This window comes from Homo sapiens, chromosome 12, assembly GCF_000001405.40.
Source record: "Homo sapiens chromosome 12, GRCh38.p14 Primary Assembly".
In the NCBI taxonomy this organism is placed as follows: domain Eukaryota; kingdom Metazoa; phylum Chordata; class Mammalia; order Primates; family Hominidae; genus Homo; species Homo sapiens.
The window spans coordinates 56947435-56958733 of NC_000012.12; the positions used below are offsets into that span (position 1 = coordinate 56947435).

At 49.3% G+C, this 11299-nt stretch overlaps 1 protein-coding gene across 2 annotated transcripts, besides 2 other annotated features; it reads right to left on the bottom strand.

The window, feature by feature from the left end:
- Nucleotides 1–3996: 3996 nt before the first annotated feature.
- RDH16 (retinol dehydrogenase 16) lies at nucleotides 3997–10174 on the bottom strand. Of its 2 annotated transcripts, NM_003708.5 has the most exons (4): nucleotides 9716–10174; nucleotides 7472–7730; nucleotides 5393–5556; nucleotides 3997–4812 (listed from the first exon to the last, which is right to left on the bottom strand). In NM_003708.5, the coding sequence occupies exons 1-4, from the start codon at nucleotides 10026–10028 to the stop codon at nucleotides 4595–4597; spliced, it is 954 nt and encodes a 317-aa protein (NP_003699.3). In that variant the 5' UTR covers nucleotides 10029–10174; the 3' UTR covers nucleotides 3997–4594. The 2 variants fall into 2 exon arrangements, with proteins under 2 accessions (NP_003699.3, NP_001307037.1); NM_001320108.2 differs by lacking the exon at nucleotides 7472–7730.
- Nucleotides 10646–10894: an origin of replication, noted in NCBI's record as "promotes replication of a plasmid". NCBI's record gives the evidence for it as "EXISTENCE:genetic transformation evidence [ECO:0005027][PMID:16954389]".
- Nucleotides 10695–10823: an origin of replication, noted in NCBI's record as "peak of nascent strand synthesis determined by PCR amplification of labelled nascent strands". NCBI's record gives the evidence for it as "EXISTENCE:nucleotide analog incorporation evidence [ECO:0001107][PMID:16954389]".

The following is an 11299-nucleotide window of genomic DNA, read 5'->3' on the forward strand; positions in this document are numbered from 1 at the left end:
TTCAGCTCCAGAATTTCTGTATGATTCTTTTTAATTATTTCAAACTCTTTGTTAAAATTTTCTGATAGAATTCTAAATTTCTTCTCTATATTACCTTGAATTTCCTTGAGTTTCCTCAACACAGCTATTTTAAATTTTCTGTTTGAAAGGCCCCATATCTGTTTCTCCAGGATTGGTCCCTGGTCCCTTATTTAGTTCATTTGGCATGGCCGTGTTTTCCTGCATGGTTTTGATGCTAGTAGATGTTCTTTGGTATCTGGGCATTGAAGAGTTATGTATTTATTGTAGTCTTCACTGTCTGGGCTTATTTGTAGTCATCCTTCTTGTAAGACTTACCAAATATTTGGAAAGACTTCAGTGTTGTGATCTAATCCGTATCTGCTCTAGGGGGCACCCCACACCCAGTAATTCTATGGTTCTTGCAGAACCTCGTAGATGTACCACCCTGATGTTTGGGACAAGATCTGAGAGAATTCTCTGGATTATCAGGCAGAGACTCTTGTTCTCTTCCCTTACTTTCTCCCATACATACAGAGTAACTCTGTGTGTGTTTGTTCTGAGATAGCTAAAGCTGGGGGTGGAGTGACACAAGCACCCCTGTGTCACCACCACTATGACTGCATTGGGTCAGACGTGAAGCCACCACAGTGCTGGGTCTCACTCAAGGCCTGTTGTAAGGCCCTGGCTACTGCCTATGTTTGCTCAAGCCCAAGGGCTCTACAATCAGCAGATAACAAAGCTAGTTAGGCCTGTGTCCTTCTGTCAGAGCAGTGATGTCCCCCAGTCTCCGTGTGGTTCCAGAAGTGCTGTGCAGGAATCAAGGACTAGAGTCAAAAACCTTAGAAATGTACCTGGTGTCCTGTTGGATTGCAGCTGAGCTGGCACTCACTCCACACAACAAATCCTTCCTGCTTTTCTCTTCCTTGTCCAAAGACAGAGGAGCCTGACCTCATAGTCACCACCACCCCAAGCCACATGGAGTACCGCTAGACTCCCATCAATATTCCCTTAAAGCCCAAGATCTCTTAAGTCAGCTTGTGGTGAATGCTGCCTGGCCTGGGACACACCATTCATGTCAGTGGGCTCCCCATTGGCCCAGGGTGGGTCCAGAAAGTGCCATCCAAGAGTCAAGTCCTGGAATCACAAACCACAATAGTCTGCTTGGTGCTCCACTCCACTGTGGCCATGCTGGCACCTAAGGTGCAAGACAAAGTCTCCTTTACTTTTCCTTCCACTTTTCTCAAACAGAAGGTGTCTCTCTCCATAGCCACCACAGCTGGGAATGTCCTGAGTCTCACCTGAAGCCAGCAAGTCTCAGAGGCTCACCCAAGGTCCTCAGTGTAGTAACTGCCCATCAGTGCTGGTTATTTGGGGCCCAAGGTCTCCTCAGATAGAAGGTGATGAATGCTGCCAGCACTGGGTCCTTTCTTTGAAAGCACTGGGTTGCCTTCTGGCCCAGGGTCTGTCTAGAAATGTCATATGGGAGCTAGGGATTGAAATGAGGGCCTCCTGACTCTGATCATTGCCCTATCTTGCTGTGGCTGAGCTGGTATCCAAGATGCATGATAAAATCCTCCCCACTCTTCTTCTCTCTCCTCTCCTCAAGTGGAAGAAAGGGGTCTCCTTTGGAACATCAAGCTGTGCAGCCTGGGGTTAGGGGAGGGGTGATACAAACATTCCCCTTTGCTGCCCCAGCTTGCGTCTCAATATGTCATGTGTCCCCCTAATCCAGTGCCTCTGGGCCTAGTTCTGCACTACCCCTAGCCTATGAGGGGCAGTCCTTATGGCCTAGACTGCCTTTCAAGTTTACTTGGAGACACAGAGCATTGTAGCCCTTGGTGGCGAGGTTTGCGGGCACTCAAGTTAGGTTTGCTGTGATCAGAGACTCCCCTGTGGCACTAGGCCTCACCTATGAGTTGCAGTTCTTATGGCCTAGACTGCCATGTAAGTTTATTTGGAGACATGGAGCATTGTAGCCCTTGGTATCGAGGTTTGTGGGCACTCAGGACTGCTGGGATCGGTGATTCCCCTGTAGCTAGGGCTGGTTTAAATGCTCCCTCCATGGATGGGCATCAGCTGACTTTGGTCTGGTTTTTCTTCCTGCTCTAACAGGATAGCACTGAGTTCAGTGCCTCACAATTGCTGTGTTCTCCCTCCCGCAGCACCCAGAGATGCTCTCAGCACTGTGCCTCCACTGCCAGGGTTTGGAGAGCGGTAGGGTCTGTGATTCACGACTGTTTTTTTCTATCTCTTCAGTGCCTCTTTCAGCAATATGAGGTTAAAACCAGGTTAAAGAGTTATCATCACCTGATTATTGGTTCTTATGAAGGTGTTTTTTGATACGGAGACAATTGTTAACTTGGTGTCTTGGTGTGGGGTGGGGAAGAGAGAATGATCCGTGAAGCCTTCTACTCTGCCATTTATCTCCACCTGCTCCTCACTGTGTGTGTTTCATTTGCTTGTTTGTTTTATTTTGTTTTTTTTTTTTTGAGATGGGGGTCTCACTCTATCACCCAGGTTGGAGTGCAGTTGCACAATCTCAGCTCACTGCAACCTTCGTCTCCCAGGCTCAAGTGATCCACTTACCTCAGCCTCCCAAGTAGCTGTAACACAGGCATACACCAACACACCCAGCTAATTTTTTGTATTTTTAATAGAGACCGGGTTTCACCATATTGCCCAGGCTGGTCCCTAACTCCTGAGCTCAGGTAATCAACCCACCTCAGCCTACCAAAGTGCTAGGATTACGGGCATGAGTCACCATGCCTCATTGCGTGTTTTAAATTCAGTGGCCCTGCAACATCTGACCTCAATCTCTGTTTCTACAATAAATACTGATTTGTTAAACAACATGGGGCTTCCTAAAGGCTCCATATCCTAGACCTAGACTTTTATCCTGAAGAAAGAAAAATGAGAATCCTGGGGAGTTACCTCCCAACTACAATTTGTGTTGAGTCCAGGATTCTACACCCCTTTCCCCTAATGCTTTCTGTGTTGAGTCCACACTTGCGACATCATCAGAAAACTGAAGACATTGAGGATGAGGACCAGGTCATTCAAGGGAATTTCTCTCCAGTACACAGCAGGGGCTCAACAAAGGGAGAGAAAATATGAAAGATGAGTCCAGCAGTGACTCTCACTCCCTGTCACTGGAGGGGTGGGTGTGTTGGGATATGGTGGGGGACCTGAGGGATGACACAGGGAAAGTGCAATGACTTTAAAGTGAGGGTCCGTCACTAAGGGACACAGAGAGGGCACGGGTGAGGGGAGGAGGCTTCAGTTGCCCCAGGGAAGGGATCTGAGGCCTGCCTGTCAATATGGCTGTTGAGGTCGCCTTGCTGTCTTGTCCTTGGGTCTATTTCTGTGACCACAGGCTACTCCAGAACCCCCTGGAAAGAAAACAATTGCCCCTCACCTTGGTGGCAACAAGGGCTGGGAGAGGGCAGGGATAGTCCAACTTCTCTCTTCAAATCCATTCTCAGGCCATGCCTCTCATCCCCTGATATTCAGGAAGGTACCTGCCTCTTCCTGCCACTGCTCCCCAAGGCCACCCAAATCTAGGGAAAGGACATCTTCAGGAGTGAAAGTGTAAAAACTCTTGACACCCTCTTGTGTAAGTCACTCCATTACTCCCTCCCAGCAGCTTGGGAGTTCCCATCCCCATTTTCCTTTTTCCCCTTTCTTTGCCTCTAAGATCAGACTTCCCCATTGGGATCTTGTTCTCCTTCTAGCAGAAAATTCAATATTAGGAGGAGATCTATTCCTGTTCACTCTTTTCTGCCTTTGACTTCTAGTCCTAGGGAGGCTGACAGTGACCTGACTTTCTGGATGGAGTGACTCTGGGTGCTGAGCAAAGGTGGGAACCCAGACTCAGAGAGGGATTGCAATCTCATGTGTCTGGAATCCAAGTGGAGCTTCACAAGAACATTCAAATCACTGCACATGGGTGAAACTATCAACTTTTTCAACATCAAAAGAGTCAAAGGAAGTCCATGCTTTCAAGACAAATCAAAAACTGATTTATTTGTCCTCTGCACAGATCCTTACTTAGGACACCACCTCCCAGCCACTGCTTCTGGGATGACTCCTGAGGCCTATGGGGCCGCATAATGGTTCCAGTCCCAACACCACGTGTACAGGGATCTTCAGAGGAGGGGTGCCCTCACATCCTCCAGGCCATTTCCACCCCGTGGGAGGGTGTAGACTGGCCCAGAATTAACACACAGCCTGATAAGGAAGCAGGAGGTAATGGCATGGGCTGAGGCTCCTTCCACCTGCTCACACCCACCCCAGTTGTTAGCCCAAGGATGGCCCTAGAGGCTTGGACCCTTGAGTGGCCACCCACGGTGACAATGCACCCAGGAGCACTATTTGGTCCCTGTTTCTCAGCTGCGTAACTTGAAACTTTCCTACCAACATCTCCAGAGAGCAGAATTATCTCCCAGGAGAATCATGGCCAGGAGGTAATGAAGGAGGTGGGATTGGTGCCCTACTGACCGGACGGCTCCCTCCCTCCACTTTATATCTCTCCCAAGGATACACCACCCCTCATAGCACACCCCAAATCCATGCAACCATGCATCCAACCTTAGCTTCATAGAGCCTTGGCCGGGCTTGGAGAGACCCAGTACATAATGGCATCCACCAGGAAGGTGGGCATGTAGCTCATGGGGAGGTAGAGAAGCTTGGCATCCCAGCCAGCTGAGTAGCGAGTACGGGGGTGGCAGGCAATCAGCGCATGCTCCATGCAGTTGGTCACCAACGACAGATCCTGTGTGCACTTCTGCTCCATTTGTTCAGCTGATTTCTTATCTGTTAAGAATCAGAAACAATCCATGTATATTTCCACCTCTAACCGCTCCTGCTTTGGATTCAACTTAGAGTGGAAAGGGTCTAAGAACTCATGCCACCCCACAACCCCCAGTCAAGCAATGCCTCAAATCTCTTTTATCCAAATTCCCTGAGCTGGAGCCCATCCATGTGAAAGTAGCAAGTGTCTCACACTAAGTCATGTCTGTCTCTCTTTGGGAATATCTGGACTGCATAAATGATGGTCTCCACCCACAGTAGAAGTCTCAGCACATAAAAACAAGCTGTCTCTAATGCCAGCTTGTGATCAGCCACCAATGTCTTCCCTTTCTGGCTTCCCTTTGTTCCTCAGTAACGATGGGTTCAGATAGACACTGGTCCCAAGTTCTGAGAAGCCTGGACACTTGCTTTTCATGACCAGTTGACCACACAGCACCCATCATGGAAATGGGGCTAAAGGTCTCCACTCTGTGGGGAAGGGAGAGCCTGGGGATCAAACTCTAATGCCCTTCAGACACCAATGGTAGACCAAGGATTCCACACGAGGGTTTGCTTCTCTCCCCACTGTCCACAGCTTACTCACAGTCTGCAACAAACTTCTCGCCATAGGCCTCCTTGACCTCTGGACTGGACCGGTCCCAAATCTCCAGGAAGCTCTTTAAGAATCTCTCCTTACTGGTCACAGCAGTCTTGAAATAGCCAGGTTCAATCATAGCCACCTTCACCCCAAAGTAGGAGAGTTCCCTCCTGCAAGACAGAGAAGCAGAGGGGAAAAACTTCGGGGGTCTTGGAAGGTAAAACACAAACAATAAAAGTAAAACTATGATATCACAACATATGAGGACAATGGGTAAAATAGAAAGCTTGGAATATTTAATTTCCAGCAATCAAGGGGTCATAATTATCATGGTGGCATTCCCTCTGTATGGAGTTTCCATATTTTACACACCTGAGCTTACTAGCCCTAAATCCTACCAATTCCAAAGCAAGGCAGCACCTTAGTGCTGTCTCCTCCTATGTCCCTCACATCCAGTGGATCACCAGAATTCCCACATTTTGCCTCCTCTCCAGTCCTCAGTCCCCTCCCTCGTTTTCCTGCCCCAGGAATCTCCCTGGCCTCTGAGCTGGGTGATGGCAGCTGTCCTCTAAGAAGCATCTGTCTTCAGTCTGGCTCCCCACACTTACAACCACTGGGCTTCCTGCAGTCAGTGGGAGTCTAGAAGCTGACTGGACCAAGGAGCTCCCCTGAGCAAATCCCTTTTCTGGAGGGGGTTCCACTGCCAACAGCATAAGCCACAACTCCTGTCCAGGGCCCACAGGCCCTCAAGGAGCCCACCTATGACCACCTGCCCAGCATCCCCCACCAGGCTTGGCCTTGACCTTCACCACAAGAGGATTCTGCAGTACATGCAGGTGGCTAATGCTCACTCTGGGCCTGGGCTGATGGCATTCCTTCATCTAGGAGCCTTTCCCAGTCTTCCTTACCAGGCTGCCAGGTGGAGTTCTCAATCCCCAGCTTGAGTTTTCAATCCCCAGCTCAGATGGAATCTCCAGGACTCTCCTCAACTCAGGTGGGTACCATGGCCAGCAAGGTTGACTTGGTCACCAACCTTATAAGCATTGGCACTTGATTCTATATCTCTTGTCCCTCTCCCAGGTATCAAGTTTTAAGTCACAGACAAAACCTTGTTGTTAAGGATGGATTTTTGGCCACTTGGACAAGGGCCTAAAGTGTCTGTTGTGTGGACTCAGATGCTCTACCCATCGTCAAAGGGGCTCTGGATATGAATTCTGCTGGGAAAGACCATCTCCTGCATGCTGTCTTTGGGCCCCAGAGAGCCATGAAGGAATGGCCTCAGGGCTTGAAGCATTTCTCTCCCTAGAGAGGAAGAGCCCCAGAGCCAGGCACCCATCTCCTGGTGTGGAAATATCTTTCCCTGTTTCTGACTCAGTGAGTGCTCTTGCGTCTGCATGAGCTTGTGTGTGTCCGCGGCCCTAAGGCATGCCCCAGGTTTACAAGTATTTCAGATTCCTGGGAGGAGGGGTTGGGGTCCTTCTACTACAGCAAGAGAGGGGTGTTAGCAAGCCACATGCCCAGTGTCAGCTGCTGGGAGAGCCTCCCTGGCTAGGGGACCAACACACACTGCTGTAGCTGATCTTTCTCTGCTCCTTCTCTAGGGTGCAAAGCATTCTTCCATCCAGCACTGACTGCCTGGTCTGCCTTTGTGGCTCCAATACCAAGGTGCAATGGGAAGAAGTGTTTAGGGTCCTTCCCTGGGATTAGTCATTGATACACAGTGTTCCCCTGTCCTGGGCTTGGTAACCTCAGTACTGTGTTCCTCTTGGTAGGATCTGAAGCCAAAGATCCAGGTCCAATTCTGCCTCTGGCAGTTTCTGACCAAGAGATCCATCCAGGGAAGAGGTATCGTTCAAGAAACTCTCTGACCTGGGGCCCCTCCTGTCGCCCAGCACTCAGGAAGGTGCTTCCCAGTGAATGGCCAGCCCAATCCAGAAAGAGGAAGATGAGGGTGTCACACATGAAGACAGAGAGTGATCTCATGAAAGGAACTTACAGGCTGGGATTCAAGGAACTCCCTGGAAAAGACTTCCCCACAAGGACAGGAGCAGGAAGACTAGGGTGGGCCCCATCCCAGACCCATACCTGAGGGAGTCAGAGAAGGCTTCCACGCCATACTTGGAGATGCAGTAGCCTCCACCAAAAAGTGACACCCGGCCCATGACACTGGAGACGTTGACCACACGGCCCCTGGCCCTCCTCACTAAGGGCAGCAGGCTCAGAGTCACATCAATCACCCCCAACAAGTTCACGTCCAGTATGGTCACGAAGTCCTGCTTGGTGAGCAACTCATTGGGAGCCGTGGGCAAGGAGATGCCAGCATTATTCACCAGGCCCCAGAGTCCTGGGACAGTGGGAAGATGAGAGAGCATCACTGTGTTGTGCCTGTGCAGGTGGACAGAGTTAGGGTGCAAATCACATCCCAATAAAGTGAGGGCAGACTGACAGGTGTGGGATGGGGAGGAGGGTATAACAAACACCACAGTATCACAGGGGTGGGGGCTGAGCATTCAGCAGCTGGTGGGCCACAAAACCCAGGTCTTTCTCCATTTACTCTTCATGGACCAGCCTACTGCCTGAAAGACAATAAGCTATTACCCCTATTTAAGGACTGCATGAAATCATGTTAAAGAACTATTGTCCATGCATTAGTCTGGAAACATGAAGACCAATGTTTGGTTAGTTAAACATGAATGTTGCAGACATTACAGACATACAGCTGCATTTTCAGGTGTGCTAACACCTTATATAGTGATTGTCCAGCAACTATCTGTTGATGGAATAAGAGACAAGAAAGAGGGAGAGTGAGGGAGACAGGAAAGAGAGAAAGAGACAGACCTGAAATCCTAGGCTTGGGGGAACTTGGGAAACATCCTGTTTCCCAAGTGTTTGAACTCAGGGCACTGGTCTTGAAACATCCTGCATCAGTAACATTTTTATAGAAAGCACAGGGGAATTCCAATGCACAGGCTTTGGGAAGAAAGCAAGGTTGCGTCACCCCACTCAGTACACAGACTCCACCCTCTGCCCCAGAAAATGTCACCCTCTCCTCCTACTGCATCAGAAGCCCACTCTTCATCCTTCCCTTTAGTCCCAAGTTCACCCAGCTCTGGGAAAATCTCTCTGGAAGATGCAAATACACAATCCCCAGGACTTCAAGTCAATAGAGTTTTCAACCCACAGAGCTAGGGGGCAGGAGCACAGGGTCCCTTGAGTCCAGGCAGGGGGTGGCAGTTGTTGATCTGGAAGGGTTGGCCCAGGCATATGAACCTGTCCCCTGCTCAATAACAGGCCCTGCCCTGATGCAAATGCAGATTCCTCCACCCAGACATCTCATTTTTAAGAATCCAATCAATACTCACACTTACAGAGACGTTGGCAAATAAAAGTCCACCAAGATGACATTTATGATGAATAAAAAGCAGGAAGGAATTTCATATCCAACCACTCAGTATGGATTACATAGGTAAGGCTATTGGAAGGATACAGTATTCTAAATAATTAAATATAATTTTATAAAAACAGTCATTATGGTGGAAAAGTGTTCATCTTCTCCAGAGAATTTAAGGTGACTGAAACTAAGAACAAAATATAAAATCCTAATTTTGTATAATTGTAAAAAGGACTTATGTGTGGATGACAATTTCAGGGAAACTTGTTTTCATCTTTATTCTTTTCAGTGTTTTCCACAAAGATCATATTCTGATTTATTGTTACATAAAATAAATCCATGTTTCTTTCTTCCTCTATAATAAGACAGATGAATTAGTGTAGTGAAAAGAAGAAAGAAAGAAAAAGTAACCCCTTACTAGTTCTGCCTTCCTTAAGCAGTCCTTAAGCTGATACTCTCCTCTGAAGATGGAGATGATCGTAGCTCTCAGTGGACGCTGATGGGCCCTAGCAAAAACAAGGTAAAGTGCTGGGAACATAAGCCTGGCTCCAGCACAGGCACAGCCTCCGTGCACACTTGCAGCCCTGTGCTCCCTTCTCAACGATGCTCCAGCAAGTCTCCAGATCTCTAACCCAGGCTCTTAGCATCAAACAACACATGACTTCTGCTTAGACAGGAGGGAGAGGATAGAGAGGAATTCTGGAGAGAAAATCTCATCAGGGCAAACTCTCCCCAAGACTAGACACCTCCAATGTCGGGAGAGGTTAAGGATTGAAAAGAGATGGGGTTCAGGCAGCCTGTTAAGTGAGAAATATTAGAAAGCTACTGTTACTTCAACCTGGAAAGACACTGTAGGAATCTTCCCAGGGAGCAGACAGGAGGTGGTCCCTTCACACAGAGGGAAGACACAGACAGACTTGACAAACCTGGGTGGTTACCTTTGTCTCTCACGCACTCCTTCACCCACTGGGCGGCTGCAGCAACGCTCTCTGTCTTGGTAACATCCAGGGTCACCGTCTCCAGCCTGTCTGAAGTCTGGCCCCTCAGCTGCTCGGCTCCTTTCTCCGTCAGACATGCAGCCAGCACCCGCAAGCCTCGTGCATCCAGCTGTCTGGCCAGCAGTTTCCCGAAGCCAGAGTCACAGCCCGTGATGAACACATACTTATCTCTCAGGTGGCTCAGCACCTGCCTCTCCCGGTACCAGTGCAGAAGGTAGTACAGGCCCACGAAAACCGCCAGGTAGAGCCACATGGCTTTGCAGAGGACAGACACAGACAGGCTGTGGGGGAAACCAGAGTCTGGCCTCTGTTCAGACAGGAGGATTTAAGAACACAGAGGGCTGTGGTAGGCAGGGAAGCCCTCAGGCATTTTGGCAGGGAATCCTCACTTTCCTCCCTGATGACTGCCTTTCTGCAACATATTTATTCTGGCCCCACCTCTCTGCTCTTTGAACTGCTTTTGCAGTACTCATGCACACCTTTGCACACCTCAAGTCCTGCCCAGTAGGAAGATACTATCTTCCTACTGGGCAATGTGCCCCTAGTCTCCTGATTTCTCTCTGCCTTGCTATGCCCACTACATGCATGCTGTGTCCATGAAGGAGCACACACATATATTCACACAGGAACATACACAGAACTCACACAGGCTTACACACAGCTGCCCACACACACTCTCCATGGCAAACACACCCCTCTGCTCTAAGTACAGGGGTCAAAACTGTCTCTACAAAGCTCCGATACCAACACTCCTGGTCCATGACCTTCTGAACATAGAAAGGCCTTATTGGGTAGCTACCCATGGTTTCCAGGCACATTAGGTGGAAATCCCTCTCTGAGCCTGAGTTTCCTCATCCTGCTCCGCACCCCAGAATCAATCACTCCTCTGAAAACTAGGGCACGGTCAGGCTGTCTAGGATGAGAAGGAGAAGGCAAAGAGTGAGCAGGAACAGGTTCCCTCCTGCTATAATAGTTTTTTGGGGCAGAAGGATTGCAGGATCCCACAGGGAGAATCCAACCTCAGAGGTAAAGAAAGCAGGGAGAGGATGGGCAAATAGGAACAGCTCCGGTCTGCAGCTCCCAGTGTGACTGATGCAGAAAATGGGTGATTTCTGCATTTCCAGCTGAGGTACCTGGTTCATCTCACTGGGACTGGTTGGACAGTGCGTGCAGCCCACAGAGGGTGAGCCGAAGCAAGGCAGGGCATTGCCTTACCCAGGAAGTGTAAGAGGTCAGGGGATTTCCCTTTCCTAGACAAGGGAAGCCGTGACAGACTGTACCTGGAAAAACAAGACACTCCTGCTCAAATACTGCACTTTTCCAATGGTCTTAGCAAATGGCACACCAGGAGATTATATCCTGTGCCTGGTTTGGTGGGTCCCATTCCCACAGAGCTTTGCTCACTGCTAGTGCAGTAGTCTGAGATCAACCTGCAAGGCAGCAGCCTGGCAGGAGGAGGGTTGCTCACCATTGCTGAGGCTTGAGTAGGAAAGCAAAGCAGCTGGGCAGCTCAAACTGGGCGAA

Bases quoted from the DNA above. Each gene is read 5' to 3' on its own strand.
- RDH16 (NM_003708.5), bottom strand. From the start codon at position 10,028: ATGTGGCTCTACCTGGCGGTTTTCGTGGGCCTGTACTACCTTCTGCAC. The intron at 7,731-9,715 runs GTAACCACCCAG...CCACTGTCCCAG, and splicing joins GGAGTGCGTGAGAGACAAAG to GACTCTGGGGCCTGGTGAAT. The intron at 4,813-5,392 runs GTGAGTAAGCTG...GATTCTTAACAG, and splicing joins CGAGAAGTTTGTTGCAGACT to ATAAGAAATCAGCTGAACAA.